The 18,249-nt window shown below is 58.7% G+C and overlaps 2 protein-coding genes and 1 long non-coding RNA gene across 20 annotated transcripts in view, besides 9 other annotated features; 1 reads left to right on the top strand and 2 right to left on the bottom strand.

The window, feature by feature from the left end:
• Positions 1-1,627, bottom strand: part of CDHR2 (cadherin related family member 2) — a 53,464-nt gene extending 51,837 nt beyond the window's left edge. Inside the window, exon 1 of the mRNA NM_001171976.2 lies at positions 1,369-1,627. The gene's annotated coding sequence lies outside the window, so the exon portion shown is untranslated. The remainder of the gene's footprint in view (positions 1-1,368) is intronic.
• Positions 58-107: a silencer, noted in NCBI's record as "silent region_16657". NCBI's record gives its function as "represses an Ori minimal core promoter by ATAC-STARR-seq in GM12878 lymphoblastoid cells {active_cell/tissue: GM12878}" and the evidence as "EXISTENCE:reporter gene assay evidence [ECO:0000049][PMID:35858748]".
• Positions 568-1,157: a silencer, noted in NCBI's record as "silent region_16656". NCBI's record gives its function as "represses an Ori minimal core promoter by ATAC-STARR-seq in GM12878 lymphoblastoid cells {active_cell/tissue: GM12878}" and the evidence as "EXISTENCE:reporter gene assay evidence [ECO:0000049][PMID:35858748]".
• RNF44 (ring finger protein 44) lies at positions 625-17,426 on the top strand. 18 transcript variants are annotated; one of them, XM_047416956.1, is made up of 11 exons: positions 625-735; positions 11,622-11,772; positions 11,945-12,134; positions 12,508-12,675; positions 13,258-13,290; positions 13,395-13,556; positions 13,932-14,056; positions 14,320-14,407; positions 14,494-14,615; positions 14,751-14,850; positions 15,048-17,426. In XM_047416956.1, exons 2-11 carry the CDS (start codon positions 11,666-11,668, stop codon positions 15,108-15,110), a joined length of 1,158 nt encoding a protein of 385 aa, XP_047272912.1. In that variant the 5' UTR covers positions 625-735; positions 11,622-11,665; the 3' UTR covers positions 15,111-17,426. The 18 variants fall into 18 exon arrangements, with proteins under 18 accessions (XP_047272912.1, XP_047272908.1, XP_047272905.1 ...); XM_047416952.1 differs by having other exon boundaries at positions 13,126-13,290; XM_047416949.1 differs by having other exon boundaries at positions 13,117-13,290.
• Positions 1,548-2,154: an enhancer, noted in NCBI's record as "H3K4me1 hESC enhancer chr5:175968985-175969591 (GRCh37/hg19 assembly coordinates)". NCBI's record gives its function as "activates a minimal SCP1, AML or CMV promoter by ChIP-STARR-seq in primed H9 embryonic stem cells {active_cell/tissue: H9 hESC(primed)}" and the evidence as "EXISTENCE:reporter gene assay evidence [ECO:0000049][PMID:30033119]".
• Positions 4,841-6,209, bottom strand: LOC124901143 (uncharacterized). Its single transcript, XR_007059071.1, has 2 exons — positions 6,015-6,209; positions 4,841-5,080 (listed from the first exon to the last, which is right to left on the bottom strand). It is a non-coding gene; the product is annotated as an uncharacterized LOC124901143 (long non-coding RNA).
• Positions 5,743-5,922: an enhancer, noted in NCBI's record as "active region_23689". NCBI's record gives its function as "activates an Ori minimal core promoter by ATAC-STARR-seq in GM12878 lymphoblastoid cells {active_cell/tissue: GM12878}" and the evidence as "EXISTENCE:reporter gene assay evidence [ECO:0000049][PMID:35858748]".
• Positions 6,163-6,602: an enhancer, noted in NCBI's record as "active region_23688". NCBI's record gives its function as "activates an Ori minimal core promoter by ATAC-STARR-seq in GM12878 lymphoblastoid cells {active_cell/tissue: GM12878}" and the evidence as "EXISTENCE:reporter gene assay evidence [ECO:0000049][PMID:35858748]".
• Positions 6,713-6,972: a silencer, noted in NCBI's record as "silent region_16655". NCBI's record gives its function as "represses an Ori minimal core promoter by ATAC-STARR-seq in GM12878 lymphoblastoid cells {active_cell/tissue: GM12878}" and the evidence as "EXISTENCE:reporter gene assay evidence [ECO:0000049][PMID:35858748]".
• Positions 7,053-7,242: a silencer, noted in NCBI's record as "silent region_16654". NCBI's record gives its function as "represses an Ori minimal core promoter by ATAC-STARR-seq in GM12878 lymphoblastoid cells {active_cell/tissue: GM12878}" and the evidence as "EXISTENCE:reporter gene assay evidence [ECO:0000049][PMID:35858748]".
• Positions 9,349-10,018: an enhancer, noted in NCBI's record as "H3K4me1 hESC enhancer chr5:175961121-175961790 (GRCh37/hg19 assembly coordinates)". NCBI's record gives its function as "activates a minimal SCP1, AML or CMV promoter by ChIP-STARR-seq in primed H9 embryonic stem cells {active_cell/tissue: H9 hESC(primed)}" and the evidence as "EXISTENCE:reporter gene assay evidence [ECO:0000049][PMID:30033119]".
• Positions 10,189-10,408: an enhancer, noted in NCBI's record as "active region_23687". NCBI's record gives its function as "activates an Ori minimal core promoter by ATAC-STARR-seq in GM12878 lymphoblastoid cells {active_cell/tissue: GM12878}" and the evidence as "EXISTENCE:reporter gene assay evidence [ECO:0000049][PMID:35858748]".
• Positions 17,427-18,249: the final 823 nt, after the last annotated feature.

The following is an 18,249-nucleotide window of genomic DNA, read 5'->3' as shown; positions in this document are numbered from 1 at the left end:
ACCTGGGCTAAGCAGACGACCTGGTTGTGCAGCTTGTGGGAGGCGCGGTCTGCAGGGACTACCACCACCTGCATGCCAGCCAGAGCGCGGCCCGCGGCGGGGTGCAGCCTTCGCTGGCCTAATGCGCCCAGGAGGCGGGGACGGTGGGGCTACCCTCCGGCGCCGGGACCCGCGGCCTGAGCTGGTGCCGGCCATGCCCTGGTCCAGGTTGGCTCTAGCGATGGGGACACAGGGGTTGCGGGGAACGTAATCCCTCCCGATGTCTCGGCCGGCCGCCTCGTTTTGTTGTCACTGGAGTCTCCCATCCTCCTCCTGAAGAAGGTATCATCAATTCCATTCCGCAGACTTGAAAAGTGAGGGTCAGAGAATGGCCCAAAGCGGGGAACCAAGATCTGCTGACCCCAGACAGCTATTAGCTACCTCCGCGCCCACCGGGGCTGGGGGAGGGGACACACTCTCCGGGAAGCGAAGATTCTCTGAACGACCATGGGGTCGTATTGTTTCCCTTTTCACAGGCGAGAAAACGAAGTCACTCCTCCAAGGTCACGGAGGCTGCCAGGCCCCAGGCGCCGCGCCCTTACGCACCCCTGGCCGACTGACGCTGGGCGGGCGCGGCCGAAAGAGGCTCCGCCCCGCACGCGTGGTGCGGTCCAGGCAGCTCCATTCGCGCGGGGCCGGGGCGGGGGTCCTGGAAGCTGCGCAGCCGGTGTGGGCCCCGCGCGCCCGGGTGGTGAGGTCCGCGGACGGTTCCCCTGCACCGGGCCGGAGAGGGGCCGCGGCAGGCGGCGCGCGGGCCGCAGCCGCACCGCGAGCCTGGGCTGCAGCGGGAGCGACGCGCCGGCCGCCGGGTGGGGGTGGAGCCCCGCCGCGGCCCCAGGTAACGCCGGGCCCGGACCCTGCGCCGAGCGCCCCGGGCGCAGGGCCGGCGAGCACGCGGCGGTAGGGGGCGGCCGCGGGCCGGCGGAGGAACGCACGCGGGGTCTTCCCGCCAGGCCTCTGCCGGCGCCCGCACGGCGGGAGCTCGCAGTCCCGGGCCCGGCAGCGGGAGCTGCGCCGCTCTTCTCCCCGTCCGCTAGGTCCAAACGCCCCAACTCGGGGAGCCCCGGGGAACTCCGAGCCCCCGCGTGCCCTGCGCCCCGCGCACGTCCCGACCGCCACCCCCGGCGAGTCCCAGCTGCGGCTGGGACCCAGGCGTCCGGCACCGCGAGCCGGAGACGCGCTGCAGTTCTTTGGCCTCGCCATGTCCGTCCTAAACATTTCCCCGACGCCCCCTGTGCCGGCCGCCGGGGAGCCAGAGCGGCCTAAGCCCTGCCCTGGAGCGGCTGCAGGTCCGGGGAACAGACCGCTGCACTTCAGCGCCGTCCTTACTGCATTCTGGATGTCGGAACGCTGCGGGGTCCGGAGAGAGTCCGTGTCTTGCCCAAGGTCACACAGCTTCCGTTGCCTGAAAGCCACTAAGCTCGAGTCGAGCTGGTGCCGGGGGCTGGGAAGTGAGGGAAGGAGGACGAGTAAGATGGAGGGACAGTGGGGGATTCGGGTAGACTTGTCTTCCTCGATCTTCCAGGGTCCGCACTCCTGCAGCCCTCGGTTTTCATCACTGAACAATGTGACGGTTCCTGCCCCCTTTGCAGAACCTGGGGGTTCCAGCAGTGAGAACTGCGGGTTGGGGAGGAGGAGTCAGAAAGGGGAACGCCCCCACGCCACACCCACACAGCGCACACCTCCAAATGCGGACCCAGACCCGAAAAGTTGGCCGGCACACACACACAGAACCACTGTTGACCCACCGAGAAGGATGCTTTCACCCAGCTTCACACCTGGACAAACAGCCTCACAGACCTTACTGACTTCCCCAAGGTCACAGGCTAACCAGAGGCAGGGCAGGCTGGCCTCAGGGGCTCTGTCTCACCCCTCAGTGTAGTCCTTTCGCCCCAGTGGCCTAGTTATTATCGATCACCCGATTTTACAGACGAGAGATTGAGAAGGAGAGGAGCCATAGAACTCACCCAAGGTCTCAAAACTGGAGCCCGAGTGCTGAGGGCCAGAGCCCCAGACGGGGAGCACCTCTCCAGACGCCCTGCCCTCACCGCCATCTGCACGCACAGCCACTTAAGGGAGCCAGAACTCGGGGCTCAGGGCTGTTGAGGCCAGCCCTGAGTGGAAAGGACTTAGCAGGGCTTTGTCTACTCCCTCCCTGGTGTGTGAGGCTCTGGGCCCTGCTCTGATGCTCTGGTGTCTGGGAGGTGTGAACCCTGAGCTGGCTCTGCCAGGCTGTGCTGTGTCCCTGGCTGGTACCCCAGCCTCTGTGTCCCGCCAGCTCCATCCTGGGAAGGTGACTGGGCCCTGCCTCTTTGGAGGGAGGTTTGAGGGGCCTTGGAAGAAAGAAATGGGGTACTTTCTGACTCCGAGGGAGAGAGGCAGCCAGTTGTCCAGGCTCTGGGGTAGGTGAGAACCCTAGTCGGGCAGGGCCCCAGCAGGAAACATGGCCACGCCCTCCTCTTCCTGCCTCTGCTTGCCCAAGCCCTTCCCCACTGCAGAGGAGGCCTGGGGGAGGAAGCCGGAATGTGGCATCAAGTGCTTTGTGCTGGAAGGATCAAACTTTGGATCCCTCTCAGGCTCCTGTCCACTCTGATCTGGAGCCATCCACTAGTCCCTGAGCCTCTGTGTTCTCCCCTTTCCCTGGGGACATCTGCATTTGGTTGTTCAGCAACCACGGGGCCCCTGTGTTGGCATTCATGGTTCACAAACCACACTTAATGTGAGATGAGAATGGGATCCCAGGTTTGCCCCTTGATGGCTGCATGACACTGGGTGAGTCCTGTCACCTCTCACCTCATCTGTAAAATGGGGCCAATGCTGGTGGCCAGCTCTTAGAACATGATGAGGAGAGGATCAGGATAGGACTTGCCCAGAGCTTGTAGAAGACTCTAGGACCCCCATTTCCCCCATAGAACCTCACAGCAGATGCCAGAGCAGAGGTGGGCCACTCCCATCTGAGGTTTCACACTTCTGGGCTCTGTGGCGAGGGTCTGCCCCTCCATGGCTCTGAACCGCTTTCCTCTGTGCGATGAAAGTAAACGACGTCTCCCTTTGAGGGCTTGGGGTACGGGGAGAACAAGGCTCGCACAGTAGGTGTGCAGGCCACGTCCCCACAGCAGGGTTCCAAAGCCTAAGATCCATCAGTGACCCTGAGGAGGGATTCGAAGAAAAGTTCAGATTTCAGATTTCTGGCTTCATTTGAAAAACTGGAAAATTCTGGGAAAATTGTGCCTCCCTTCCCACTTGCTCCAGAGTGATTTCACATCCACGCGTGAAGGTTTTTCAGGTTGGTGGAGATGTGTTATTGGTCTCTGGCGCTGAGGGGAAACTCAAATGACTGGGGATTTACTGAGGGTTTCCTGGGGCAGGGACAGGGCAGCGGTTTCCTGGTCCTGCAGGAGAAGAGGCAGATCCAGAGCCCCATTCCTGGGCATCCGCCACCCAGCGTGAGCCAGGTCCTGGACTGGGTGTTGTGGGCCCTGCTGGGAGCAGGGGCAGCAGTCACATGGAGATGGTCTTCTGCTCTCATGATGCAATGTGATGGTAATCCTAACACTGAGGAAGCCAGCGCAAGCCGGCAGGGCAGGGAAGGCACCATCCAAGGGAGTGGTCTTTGAGCTAGTCCCAAAGCATAAGCAGGATTTTGCCCAGTAAGTAGGGGATATTGAGGACATATTAAGCAGGGAGAATGCCACAGTCAGAAGCTTGGTGGCTTAAAAGTACAGGATTAGATTGTGGCTGGAGGGTCGCTTTCCTGGGGTGGGGATGGAAAAGGTGGTCTTACTGTGTGGCCTCAGACAAGTCACTTCACCTCTTTGAGCCTCAGGTCCTCATCTGTAAAATGAGGCTGGGGTACCCGTATATGCCAGTGAAGGCTGGACGTCTGCGCACTTAAAAAAGCCAAACCCCTTCAGCCAGGAGGGGAATTACTGAGTGAGACACACAGCGATTGTGACAGGACTGTGTGCAAATTAAATGGCATGAGGTAAAGGCTGGGGTGCATCTAGCTCTGCGTTCAAAAATGGGGGATTCAGCACAGCTGGAGATGTCACAAGCAGCTTCCTGTAAAAGGTGAGTTAGGAACAGAGCTTCAAACCGCCGAAAAGTGAAATGGATTGGCAGAAAGGAAAAGAGAGGGCATCCCAGGCAGGCAGTCTAGCCTGAGCAAAGGCAGGAAGGTGGCAGGGAGAGAAAGCCAGACGAAGCACCACCATGGTGTGAGAGGAGGGACTGGGGAGAGGCGAGCCTGAAAAGTTCGGGCAGGAAGAGCTTGTTAAGTGCAGCCCCAAAACCAGGCTTCCATGCAGTTGGCAGTAGGGAGCCACTGTAGGCCCTATCCATAAGGACAGGCAGGCAGTAATCTAACAAATATGTAGGTACCTTCAAATGTGGGGAGGGTTTTTTTTTTTTTAAGACGGAGTCTCGCTCTGTCACCCAGGCTGGAGTGCAGTGGCGCAATCTCAGCTCACTGCAACCTCCACTTCCCATGTTCAAGCGATTCTCCTGCCTCAGCCTCCTAAGTGGCTGGGACTACAAGTGCATGCCACCATGCCCAGCTAATTTTTGTATTTTTTGTGGAGACAGGGTTTCACCATGTTGGTCAGGCTGGTCTCAAACTCCTGACCTTGTGATCTGCCCGCCTGGATCTCCCAAAGTGCTGGGATTACAGGCGTGAGCCACCGTGCCCGGCCATGGGGAGGGTTTTCAAATTGCTTTTATGTGGTGGGGAAAACAAAAGGTTGAAGGAGACATTGGAGGTAAAGGAACAGTTGATGATAAGGAACTGGGTAAAGACATAACCTTGTATAGCCACACTTATTCTCATGCACATGTAATTTTTAACTGTGATGGATAGAGTTTGGCGTTCCAGGGAGCATCGATAGCACTGCATCATGACCTTGCTCTTGTGTTGCTTAGAGATCTGCCGACAGCCGGCTCAGTTCCATCTTCAGTCATTGTGTTGCACAGTGATACGATCATTGCTGGTCTAAACATTGCCATAAACATGTCTGTTCCCCAAGCTGAAAGGGGGTTTCTGATTCTAAGGGAACAAAAGGTTTTCTGGCTTAAAAGACTTAAGACATAGTCTTTATAATAGCTTTCTTTAAAAATTTCAGTGGGTTATAATGCATAGGGTTTTTAAAAAAGAGCTAATGTGCAATATATACAATAGTCTATCCTACTGACCCAACTTCTCCCTTCCAGTTCTCCCTAAGGACAATTGTTAATCAGTTTCCTGTATACCCTTCCAGAAATATATGCAGATGTGGCATATGTCCAATTAAAGAAACCTGATACATACTGTTAGAACTGTTCAGCATCTTGGTTTCAATTTTTATATAAAATTTAGGATTACGAAATATACCAAAGCAGCATAGAAAATGAGCCCCCCATCCCCCTGCCCCATGGCCCACCACACAGGTTAACAGATGTTAACATTTTGCATTGGCGCCTTGTTTATGGCTGTCTTGGAGATAGCCCCGTGTCGCCTCCAGCTGCCTCTTTGTGGTAACTGCCCAAGAGTCGTTATTGATTATATGCATGCACCCAATATTCATTATTCGACCTGTTCCAGCTCTTGGATATTTAGCAAATTACTGATTTTCTGCTTATATAATTGTGGTGGAGGTAATACCCCATTTTGTATAAATTTTGCCCGGGTGGGTGGGCTTCGAGGCAAAGGAGAACGAGGCTCGGCTTTGGATTAGGTTCACACTCCTGCTCCGCCACACTTCTAGTTGTGTGATCTGGAGTAAGGGAAGGCCCTCACTTTCCCCATCTGTAAAATGAACTGGCTATAGTAATCCCTCCGTCTCATAGCTGCTGAGAGGAATAGAAAACTAAAGTATAGACGCTTCACTGGGCTTAGTTCCCAGTTTCCCTGGCTAGGGAGGTCTCCGCGGGGACACCAAACTCTCAAGCCCAGCCTAGCAGCTAGAGCGCCCAGCGCCTGCACTTTTGCTTTAAACTACAACCTGTTCCCCGCCTCTCTTCCTCCACCGCCACGCTGGGGGCGTGGCGGTTAAATGTCTCTGTGACGTCAGCGCGAGCAGGGCCAATCTCCTTGCCCGGCAGACGTTAGCTCGTTTGCATGGGTGGTCCGCCATTGGTCTGTTGGGCAATCTGGGCCGTACCAGCTTTTTAAAGACGCCGTGTAGTATAAACAAGGAGAAGTGGGGCGGCCGGGCCATGATGTCAGCGCGGTGCTGCAGCTCTTGGGGGTGACGTCATCTCCGGGAAGGTGGCCGGCCCAGGGTTGTTAGAGCCAGCATAACCACTTGGGCCGCTCTCGCCCCGTCAGAGGTCAGACCCATTGCACTTCAGTATCTCAGGCGGCACCCTGTCCCCGAGGAGGGGACCATGACACAGTAAGTCCGTACTGCCGGTTCTCCTGGCGGGACCCATTTCTTCGGCAGGGAAACTGAGCCTCAGAGGCGCGAGTAGTTAGCGAGTTTGCATAGCAAGTTCGAGTTGCAGCCGATCGGTTTTGCCCACCCTGGGGTCTCCCCATCTTTATGTCAGGATATGCGGCCCCGCCCCTTGCTTTTGACTATGGCTGCGGTCCCTTTAAGTGCGAAGGTGGGGGCGAGGAGGAGGTTAAAAAAATTCAAGATGGTGGCCCACTAGTCACGTGCGTGGTCGCGGCGAGTGATTGGCTCTCAGGGCGGAGCTCCCGGCGCGGGGCGGGGCCCCTGCGGGCTTGCAGCGGGCTACTGTTTGCCGGAGCCTCCCGGCGCGCCCCCGCGAGCCCCCTCCCGTCTGGCGCGCGACCCCGCCGCTTCGAATGTTGTGAATCAAATGTGGGGTTTGTTACATTCCGCTGCCGCCGCGGACAGTTCTTAAAGGGCCAGCCGCCGGCTGCCGCGCAGACCCAGCTGCGTCCTGCGCCGCCTCCCGCTCCCTGAGGGCCTGGGCCGAGAGAGACTGATCGCGCGTGGGCCTCGCGAGGCAGACGCCGTCGGGCGGACAACAAAGAGAGAGGCCCCGGAAGGAGCCGGGCTGCCCCCGGACCCGGGGGTGGGGAGGGGAGCACATTGTTCCGCAGGGCGGGAGCTCTTAAAGGATCCAGACAGGCACCCCCCCCCTCCCCCGCCCCCTGCCCAGTTTGGCCGTCCTAGATCGGGAACAAAGGAGTCAACGTGTGGCCGGGCGGCCAAAGGTGAGTCGGTGCCAGGGCCCCCAACTTCCTATTCCCCCACCCATGGACCTTCTGTTCCCCTCCCCTGGGAATGGGGGCCGTGATCTAGGTGGCTCCGTAGGGGTTAATCACGGGCGGTCCAGACTGCGGGCAGCGAGACCCCAGGGATCAGGAACCCCCCCCAAGGCCCCCCGTGGCCGGGCCGTATCTCCCCTCTCCTGCAGCTGAGCGCTGCGGTTGGAGAGGAAGGAGCCGCCCCCCTCCCCCTGCGGCCGCCACTTCCTTTGTTGTTGCTTTTGTCTCACGCCGAGCACATGGTCCGGGATCCTCGGCTCTTAAAGTCGCAGCGTTCTGGCCCCTGCGCTGCAGTCTCGCCTCCCGCCCCCGGTGTCCCTCCGAGAGCGGCGCAAAAGAGTAGGAAGCGGACGAGGGAGGCCCCTCTCGGGGCTGTGTCCGCGCCTCGGCCCCCCAGCACTATGCCTGGGGAGGGGTGGCTGGGTAAGCTTCCCAGAGCCCCACAGCGTGCACTTGGCCCGCGTTGGGGAGCCCCCCCTTCCCCAGGACCCTGGTTTCCTCCCCCACTAGTGTGACCACCTGGTTTCTTCTGGACTCTTCTGGTTTTATTTGGGCGCTGTGGGAAGGAAAGATTTCCACCCCCATTTTATAGCTGTGCCAACTGAGGCGCTCAGAAGCAAAGGGATTTCCTTGACCAAGGTCACTAGGGAGTCTTCTCTCCTAGTCTGGTGGTCCGGCCCTCAGCGGCCTCCAGGCACCACACGTTGGGAAGCTCTGCTTGCGCTGGGCAGAGCCTGCTTGTTTCGGGTGGGGTGTGGGGAAGTAGGAAGGGGGGCTTCTCTTCCTGGCTGAGTCTGCTCATGCCCCCAGGGTCTGACTTTGTTTTTATCTGCAAAAGGGAGTGTCTCTTCCTGCAAACAGATCCCTGGGGCTCTTAGACCAAGGTCAGGGTAGGTGCTTGGGGCACTGGACTTAAGGGGTTGGCCGGCTCTCATGGGTGGGTGTGGGGGGTTATGTTAACTGCAAAATGCATTGCGTGCCTGGGGCGGACGGGGCTCAGCGACGGGACTCTCAAGACCCGTTCACACAGAGCTCCGTGATAGGACAGCATGGAGATGTGGACGGGCAGAGCAGTTGTTAGGGGAGGCCACCTGGCCACCCTTGCTATTTGACCTTGAGCAAGTTGCTAGCTCCAACTCTGGGCCTTGCTTGCTTCTCTGTACTACAGAGCTAAAGATGGGTGCCTGAAAGAGAGTGCTCTCCCAGCCTCCTGTATGGCTTGGAGACTCGGGATTAGGTGATTTCCTCCAGCTACTGATGCCACAGGAGTTATGGCTTGGGGGAGTTTGGGCCTAGGAGGCCAACTAGGACCAATTCCGTTCTCTCTGGTCTTGTGGCCTAGAGTAACTTACTTCCTTTCTCTCGGCTCCAGTTTTCTCAGCCATGAAGTGGGTGTAACCCTTCTACGCCACCCCTGTTCCTGGCAGGGCTTAAAGAACCAGGATCCACTCTTACCAGCTGAGGTATTCCCCTAGAGTGGCATATCTGCCTGCTGCCCCGGAAGTGGCACCCTTCAAGCTCTGCTTGAGGTTGGAAATGGAGGTCAGCGTGTCGTATTCGCTAATAATGATCATTCACACCCAAGCTAAGTTCAAACTTTACAAGTTGCTTCTGCTGTTGCCTTGGAGCAGTCCTTGATGGGAAACTGGGAGGTAGTTATTGGGCTGTTCCCATTTTACAGATGAAGATACTGAGGCTCGGGAGGGGAAGCCCTTGCCCACGGTCTGTAGGCAAGAATCTCGCTAGAAGTCACTGTCATGTGTGAGTCTGTGAGGGCTGACATTCTTACCCACGGCTGGAGGCCCTTCTGTCTCCTGGCTTGCTTTCACAGCTCCTTACCACCTTCCCTGCCCTGGGGAGTGGGTGCCTTTGTAGGGGGCTGGCCACAGAGCAGACACCCACAGGCCTGGGCCTCTGCAGGAGTGCCTTGGGCCTGGCACTACTCAGCCATCTGCAAGACATCCTGACATAAGAGGAGCAGTCAAGGCTGCTGGCTTGGTGGCTAGTCATGGGTGCTTTATGGCCAGACTGCTTAGGTCATGCACCTGCGCACTCACGATTCCAGCTGACTGGCCTTGGACCTCACCTCTCTGAGCCTTGGTGTCCTGACCTGCCAGTGTTGCTGGGAGGACTCACCAAGTTGGCGCCGGGGAAACAGCATGGTTATTATGGTGACTGTTCTGCACCAGCAGAACTATGGGCTCCCCAGCTTTCTGAGGTTAGCTAGGGTAGAGATTCCCAAATCTAGCTGTGCTGTGACAACTTCTGGGGAATTTGTTAAACATCTAGGTGCCCTTGTTCCCCATCCCTCCAAAGTGTCTGGTCCAGGAGGACTGGGATGGGCCAGGCATCTGCTGTTTCAGTTATTTGGGGATTTCCTGAGTCTCCCTTGGCCGTTGTTTGCTTGGCTGGTTTGTTGGCAGGAGTTCGGGAGGCTGTGTGTGTAGACATGCCTGTCAGGGTGTGCACTTGGCCCAGGCCAGGGGTCACAAACCCATTCCCCGATGATGGGCAGGCAGAGGTTGGGCCTGGGTGACCTGGAGGGAAAGCTCTCGCTCCCAGTGAGGGGGCCAGGCAGAAACAAGTGGGACCAGGCTTGCCATGAGAAGCCAGGTGTTTTGTAATCTCCCAACTGTCAGTTGTTGGCATTGCTGCCAGACTGGGTGACCTTGGACCTGTGTGATTGGCTCTGTTCCGTGCACATTTCTCACATCAGGCCTGCCCTGAGCTGGACACAAGGTGGTCCCTGGCCCTGCCCACACCCTCTGCTGGTCGGGCCCCGGTCTCCCATGCGGGCTCCTTTTGAGAAGCAGGGCCCAGGCTTGTGAAGTGCAGCACAGAGGAAATGGTTCTTGCCGCTGTTGGCAGGAAGGAACTAGGTGTTGAGCTGACAGTTACACTGGCTCCCTGGCTGTGTCAACAGGGAGGTGACATTGAAAGCTGGGTATCAAGGATGCATAGGAGTTTTGTTAGATGGGGAAGGGATGGAACGAGCCTCCCTGTGGCAGGAACAACAAAGATCTGGTCCTGTTGGACGCATCCTTCAGCTTTGCAGGGCCTGACAGGTTCTAGAGCTTTTCCTGCCAGGGCCTCGTCCCAACTTTGAGTTGAGCGGAACCCTGAGGTTGAGCCAGGTCCCTCGACATCCTCCACCTGGACCCTCATCTCTGACCGGAGGCAGGAGACCCTGCCCCAACCCATTCCTATTCAGCTTCCTCTCTCGGGTTCTTCCTTCCTTTTTTTCTCAGCAGGCACCACCTCCCACTTTGAGGGCTGGGTTGGGGGCCCCAGAGCAAGGGCCTGGCTGCATGCCAGACTCCACAGTCTCCCCAGGCTGACTTCCTTCATCACCTCCCATGAAGCCTGGGGCTGGTCCTCTCCGTCGGCAGCAGAGCACAGGGAGAGGCTTTCTTTGGCCCACCTCCCAGCTTTAACACTTTACGGTGGGGCTTTGGGCAAGTTTCTTCTTGCTGAGCCTCAGTTTCCTCCCCCGTAAAATGGGCCAGCTATACATTCCTTGAAAGGTAGATGAAGTCACTCGTGGATAGGCACAGTGGGAGCAGGTTAAGGAAAGAAAGAATAGTGTCTTGCTTTGGACTGGAAGCCCCCGAGGGCAGGAGCGGGTTAGAACCTCTTGCCTGGCACCAGTAAGAGGAGAACTGGGTCCCAGGCCTGTTTGGAATCCCTGCTGGAACCAGCCAGAGGGAAGGGAGGATGTGGACCCTCCTCAGGAACCCCCAGCTGCCGCCTGGAGGCCAAGTTGTAGCCCCTGGTGTAAGGCAGAGAAAGGTCTGGCCCTAAGCCCCTTTCCAAGACAGGGTGCCCTGAGACCCCGCCCAGCAGGAGCCTACCAGGAACCCACTGGCTTGGAAGCACGCTGGCCAGCTCGCTGAGCTCCGCAACTGAGGGGGACTGGGTCCCATTTCACACAGCAGGAGGGTGAGGCCTGGGTGCTGGCAGGCTGAGCTGTCCTGGCGTGTCAGCACTGGACCCCAGGGCTCGGAGGAGGGGCACGGCTGAACACCATTGGTCCCTGGGGTCACACTGCAGAGGTTTGGTTCTGTCTCCTGACCCCTCATGGCACAAGCGCCTGGACTTCTCTGTGCCTCAGTTTCTTTCTTTTTTTTTTTTTTTTTTTGAGACGGGAGTCTCGCTCTGTCACCAGACTAGAGTGCAGTGGTGCGATCTCAGCTCAGCTCACTGCAACCTCCGCCTCCCGGGTTCAAGCGATTCTCATGCCTCAGCCTCCCAAGTAGCTGGGATTACAGGTGTCCACCACCATGCCTGGCTAGTTTTTGTATTTTTAGCAGAGACGAGGTTTCACCATGTTGGCCAGGTGCCTCAGTCTTCTTGTCTCCTTGCCTCCTAGGGTTGTGAGTCCCGGCCCAGCCCCTCCACCCCCCTGCCCCCCCGATGCGACCATGGGCTCTGGCAGTGACTAGGTGGCCACCCTCCGCCCCCGTGGGCCAGCGGCGATTCTCTGCGGGACCTGGCAGCACCCCGGGCCAGCTCTGGGGAAGGTAGGAAGGAGCCTCCCAGTCCTGGTGCTGGGGCATGGGGGCCAGCAGGGGTGGGGCGCAGGGCCCTGAGCTGCCTTCCCTCCCCATGGGGGGAGTCACCCTGGCTTCTCTCCCTGCTCTGTGCACGAGTGGCCCCCCTCAGTCCTATCGGGGCCTCCTCTCTGTGGTGCAGCCCTGGCCTCGAGGGCCCCCTGGCCAGCCCGCCTGCCCGGGATGAGCGCTTACCCTCCCAGCAGCCGCCGTCCCGACCTCCACACCTCCCCGTAGAGGAGCGCCGAGCCTCGGCTCCTGCCGGCGGGAGCCCCCGAATGCTGCACCCAGCCACCCAGCAGAGCCCGTTCATGGTTGATCTCCACGAGCAGGTAGGCAGAACCCCATCCCCTGTGCCCCTGGCCCTGTGAGCCAGTCTGAGAGGCAGAGGCAGCAAGGCCTAGATTTCACCTAGCTTGCTTCATTTCACGTTCCAGGGAGGCATTATTGGCCCTGCTTTACAGGTAGGTAAACTGAGGCCCGGGGAAAGGGCCACACTGGGTGACTAGCAGAGCTAGATTCCCACGGGGCTTTCTCTGCCCCGGGGGCCTGGGAGTAGAGGCACAGTCTGGTCTGCACTGAGGTAGGCCGCCGTGGAGAAGGGAAGGGAGCCGGCAGCTGGATGTGGCAGGATGATTTCTCCTGAGAGTAGCCCTCGCGGTCAGCTTCCTTTTCATACTTTCCCGGCGTTCTCTCCACCCACAGGTGCACCAGGGACCTGTCCCTCTGTCCTACACGGTCACCACAGTGACGACCCAAGGCTTCCCCTTGCCTACAGGCCAGCACATCCCTGGCTGCAGTGCCCAGCAGCTCCCAGCATGCTCCGTGATGTTCAGTGGGCAGCATTACCCCCTCTGCTGCCTCCCGCCCCCGGTGAGTGAGTGTTTCTAGCTCCTCCTCCACCAGCTGCAAGCCCCAGGCACAGGCCAGCGGCTCAGCGGGCCCAGGGCAGCCCTGAACTGGGCTGAGCTATCCAGCCATCCAGGCTGTCAGAGCGCCTGCCTGGCCTCCCCAGGAAAGCATACGCGTGTTCACATTTGGTAATAGAGTGTTTCAAGGTTCAGGAACCTTCCAGTACCCCTGTACCTGCCTCACAGCTTGGCAGAGGCCCAGGAGTTGAGGCTGTGGGCCTTAACAGTGGAGTGTCCTGCCTGGGTGGCCTAGGACAGGGATGGGCCTTCCACAGGGTTTCTTATACAGACCCTGGAGCTGCTGGGTGTGTGCCCGGTGGGGGCCTTTTGCTGGGTGGCATGGCGTAGACCTGGCCCAGAGCCCAGGAGAACGTTCTCAGCCCCCTGCCCCCTCTCTTGGCAGCTTATCCAGGCGTGCACCATGCAGCAGCTGCCTGTGCCCTATCAGGCCTACCCCCACCTCATCTCCAGTGACCACTACATCCTGCACCCCCCACCACCGGCCCCACCCCCCCAGCCCACCCACATGGCGCCCCTGGGGCAGTTTGTGTCTCTGCAGACCCAGCACCCTCGGATGGTGAGTCGGCATGGGTCCGATGCTGGAGGGAGATGGCGTGGGGGGAGGCAGGGTGAGGACAGCCTCGTCTCACTGACTTGCTGACCCGGCGCTGGTTCTTCCAGCCCCTCCAGCGGCTCGACAACGACGTGGACCTGCGTGGGGACCAGCCCTCCCTGGGCAGCTTCACCTACTCCACCTCTGCGCCTGGCCCAGCCCTTTCCCCGTCGGTGCCCCTGCACTACCTGCCCCACGATCCGCTGCACCAGGAGCTGTCCTTTGGTGTGGTGAGTGCCACCCCGACCCCCACCTGGGCTCCAGGGCAGCTGGGAGGCAGACCCGCTGGGCCGACCTGCATCTGGGCTCCCAGGCAGCTGGGAGGCAGGCCCACCGGGCTGACTTGCACGTGGGCTCCGGGGCGGCTGGGAGGCAGGCCTGCTGGGCTGACTTGCACCTGGGCTCCGGGGCGGCTGGGAGGCAGGCCCACCGGGCTGACTTGCACGTGGGCTCCGGGGCGGCTGGGAGGCAGGCCCACCGGGCTGACTTGCACCTGGGCTCCGGGGCGGCTGGGAGGCAGGCCCACCGGGCTGACTTGCACCTGGGCTCCGGGGCGGCTGGGAGGCAGGCCTGCTGGGCTGACCTGCACCTGGCCCCTCTTGCAGCCATATTCTCACATGATGCCACGGAGACTGAGCACCCAGAGATACCGCCTGCAGCAGCCACTGCCCCCGCCGCCCCCACCCCCACCCCCACCACCCTACTACCCCAGCTTCCTGCCCTACTTCCTGTAAGTATCCGCACATCCGCCCCAGGTCCCTGATGCCCTGTTCTCCTGGAACCTCCAGTGGTTAGACCTAAACACAGCTCCAGGGGCCCCAGGGCCTCTGAAGCCACCTGGCGTTCCCCCCTTAACCTGACAGGCACGCCAGCTGGGCTCCCTTCCCCGCTGCAACGTTCTGGGCTCTGTTTGCAAGGAGGGAGTCAGGAGAGCGGCTCTGTGTGCCCCACTCCTGACCTTGACCCTGGGCCCCCACACTTGTCTCTCTCTAGCTCGATGCTGCCAATGTCACCAACAGCAATGGGGCCCACCATCAGCCTGGACCTGGACGTGGATGATGTGGAGATGGAGAACTATGAGGTCCCATGGAGCCCCATGCTGGGAGGTGGGGTTTGGGAGACCTGCAGCCCTGGGCGCCGCTGACCCCGTCTCCTGCCCGCATGCAGGCCCTCCTGAACCTGGCCGAGCGGCTGGGAGATGCCAAGCCCCGGGGTCTCACCAAAGCAGACATAGAGCAGCTCCCGTCGTACCGCTTTAACCCGGACAGCCATCAGTCGGAGCAGACGCTGTGAGTACCCTGCCCCACCTCCCACCCCTCTGAACACAGCTGGCTGCCGTGGGACGCCCCTCTCAGGGGAGTCACACTCCACTGAGCCTTCCCATGGCCCTCAGCGTGGAGGTGACGCTCCGCGCCCCTCCACAGGTGTGTGGTCTGCTTCAGTGACTTCGAGGCGCGGCAGCTGCTCCGAGTCCTCCCCTGCAACCATGAGTTCCACACCAAGTGTGTTGACAAGTGGTTGAAGGTAACACTGCCCAGGTCTGCTCCTGGGTATTCCTCATGCAGTGACGGGGGGATGGGCTGGCCTGGGCTGTTTCCCTCCTTGTCCTTGTCATCATCTCGGAAGTTCTGGCTCCAGCGGACCAAGTCCCCCCAGGTGGCTGCACAGATGTGGTGGGTTGGGGCTGGTGAGAGCAACGCCTGACGTGCATGTTCCCACAGGCCAACCGGACGTGTCCCATCTGCCGGGCCGACGCCTCCGAGGTGCCCAGGGAGGCTGAGTGAGGCCACGCAGCCGCCTGCCCGGGAGAACCCTGCCTGAAGCTCTGGAAACTTGTGGGTGGGGCCCAGGGAGGATGGGGAGGGAGTGGCCCAGGCCTGCCCCTTCGCTCCTGCCTGCATTTCCAGAGCTGGTGCCAGGGTCAGCCCAGCGAGGAGTCCCTGCAATAAGCCCCTGCATTTGCCAAGCTCCAAAGACTCCCTCCCTAGTCTGCCTGCCTGCCCGCCCGCCACGGAGCTGCCTGAGTGTCCCTGATCGGGTCTCCCTCCTGTGCACCCTCAGGTCCCTCCTTTTCCTGCTGGCACTGAGTGCCAGGGGTCCGCTCCCTCAGTGGGGCCGGTGGAGATCCTTGGCCCCAGGATGGGCAGACAGAGCACCATCCTGGGTCAGAAGGTCTCATGCTCTGAAATGGCGTGCCCTCTGCCCAGGTGGCACTGCCAGGTGCGTAGACAGACGGTGTCACGAGCCATTTCCTGAGCCCCAGGGCTGAATCCCCCCTCCTTGACCCCGAACAGTGAACTCAGGCAGCTGGCTCTGTGTTGGCTGCTGTGAGGGCTGAGTCTGGTTCCCTAGGGGACCCTCATCCCAGGAACAACATTCCAGCCCCACCCTCAGGCTGGAGGGCGTCCCAGCCTAATCCCGAGCTGGGGCACACGTATCCTGAGGGGCTTGGGCCATACGGGGAGAGGGAGCCCTGTGTTCCCGGTGGTTGTCCCTCCCAGGGATGCAGCCAGACCCGTGCCCAATCTCCTCTCCCTCTGTTGTTTTGCATGAACGTGAGGAGCAGCAGTTTTTGTTCATTCATTTGGCCCAAAATCACGTGTAGGATTTGGGGATGTGGATATTTAAGACAATTTCTTTTTTCTTTTGGTTTAATAGGGGCGGGTATAGGGACCAACTGGGACCGAGTGCCCAGGGGGCCGAGCACGGTCATGCTGGCCGGCCTGCATGCATGCGTGTGCCGGGCTGGGCTGGGCGGCCGGCGGTCGTGGGGCAGGGTTGGGGGTCTGTGCTCAGCTGATAACTGCCATGCACTGTACTGCACACGTCCCTAGAGCCTACCGGGACCCGACGCTTTTCAGGGCATTTCTCCCTCCAGCCAGGGCCCAACTCCCACCTGCCTGGGCGAATCTCCTCCAAGGAAGTCCCAGGAGGATGGGGACCAGGAAGGCTGTGGACCCCCATCTCCAGGGGGCCTTCCCAGCCTGATCCCTGTCCTCCAAGTTCTGGAGGAGGCCGCTGTAGGGTCTGGCTGAGCTTCCCACCCACTTTCCCTGGTCCCAATCCTTTCTTGTCCTATACCCAGCTGGGGTTGCTGCCCTGAACGAACTGCGTGTGGGGCCGGCACATCCTAGCAGGCAGCCCCTGGCGCCTGCTGCCTCAGGGATGCTCCAACCACCCTCGTTCTCCTCGCAGTGGCCCTGGCTCCCACCTCCCGCCCCAGCCTGCCGTGGGGCCCGTCAGCCTGGTCCCACCCCCATGGAGAACCCAAAGTCTTACTGTATATAACTCCAGGTGACGTTTCTATATTTATAGCAGTGTTGAAAACCCACGTGTTTTACACAGAACCACCCTCTCCAACCCCTCCCTTCCCGACCCCAACAAAACGTTTTCAAACCCCTTACAGTTCCTGGGGCAGGCGGAAACAGGCTCACAGATTGTGTGTCGGCTGCAGCAGTGATTCCAACAAGCAGCTATTGGGGGGGAAACACAGCATTTAAAAAGATCATCATTAAAAAACAAGATTTATACAACAATTACTTAGGATGTTTGTGATCTGCCGACCTTGCTATAGATGCCATGTTACCAATGATTTCCTGTGGTGGGGGCTTGCCATTGTTTACTCTCTTATTTACCAACTTCTGGCCTAGGCATGACAGTGGGCACCTTCCCCCAGCCCTGGCTGGGCCCAGCGCCTGTGTTCTGTGTTAGAAAGGTTTTATATATATATAAAATTACATATATATGTAGAAATATATGTAATTTTGGGGGCCCTGTTCCTTGCACATTTTACAGTTACCTCATTTTTCCCATGTATGTATTTGAGAAAATGCTAATATATAGAGAAAAAAATGGTTCTTAAAGCTTAAATGTGTGGTTTTTTCCATTCCATGGGATTCACATTGGTTTGTAGCATTTAACATAACTAGTATGTTGTATTATATATATGTGTATACTGATTGAAATTTTTAACAGATTTGTACTTTTTTTAAAATGAAAGTTGCTAGTTCTGCTTGACCAAGTAGTGCAATCATTATTTTTTTTAATATTGTTGCTGATTTCAGAGGGATATTCACTAATAAATGTATGATGTATACCAACGACCGCCCACGCTGCCTTTGGCTGCCCGTGTCTTTTTGGTGGGAGGTGGGATGGGGATGAGGCTTAACACCTGTAATCCCAGCACTTTGGGAGGCCGAGGCTGGTGGATCACTTAAGGTGAGGTGTTCGATACCAGCCTGCCCAACATGGTGAAACCCCTTCTCTACTAAAAACACAGAAAAATTAGGCCGGGCGTAGTGGCTCATGCATGTAATCCCAGCCGGTGGCTCATGCCTGTAATCCCAGCACTTTGGGAGGCTGAGGTGGGCGGATCATGAGGTCAGGAGATTGAGACCGTTCTGGCTAACACGGTGAAACCTTGTCTCTACTAAAAATACAAAAAAAAATTAGCCGGGCGTGGTGGCGGGCACCTGTAGTCCCAGCTACTCGGGAGGTTGAGGCAGGAGAATGGCGTGAACCTGGGAGGCGGAGCTTGCAGTGAGCCAAGATCGTGCCGCTGCACTCCAGCCTGGGTGACAGAGCAAGACTCCGTCTAAAAAAAAAAAAATTAGCCAGGTATGGTGGCACAAGCCTGTAGTCCCAGCTACTCGGGAGGCTGAGGTAGGAGAATTGCTTGAATCCAGGAGGTGGAGGTTGCAGTGAGCCAAGATTGCACCACTGCACTCCAGCCTAGGTGACAGCGGACTGTGTCTCAAAAAATAAAAATGAATCTCAAGGTAGGTTCTTCTGTCCTGACTGGATCAGGGGGCTCAGGCCTGTCATGAGGAAATAAGGTCTCCCTCATTTCACAACTTGTTTTGTTTTTCCAATAGGAACAAGTCTCACTATGCTGCCCAGGCTGGTCTCGAACTCTTGGGCTCA

The sequence above is a fragment of the Homo sapiens genome, chromosome 5, assembly GCF_000001405.40.
Source record: "Homo sapiens chromosome 5, GRCh38.p14 Primary Assembly".
In the NCBI taxonomy this organism is placed as follows: domain Eukaryota; kingdom Metazoa; phylum Chordata; class Mammalia; order Primates; family Hominidae; genus Homo; species Homo sapiens.
This window is presented reverse-complemented; position numbering and strand designations above follow the sequence as displayed.

What these genes read in the sequence shown, in the direction of transcription:
- RNF44 (XM_047416949.1), top strand. Translation starts at nt 11,666, where the DNA reads ATGCGACCATGGGCTCTGGCAGTGACTAGGTGGCCACCCTCCGCCCCC. An exon ending in CCGGGCCAGCTCTGGGGAAG is followed by an intron (nt 11,773 to 11,944) that starts GTAGGAAGGAGC and finishes TCTGTGGTGCAG; the next exon opens with CCCTGGCCTCGAGGGCCCCC. An exon ending in AGGAGCTGTCCTTTGGTGTG is followed by an intron (nt 13,557 to 13,931) that starts GTGAGTGCCACC and finishes CCCCTCTTGCAG; the next exon opens with CCATATTCTCACATGATGCC.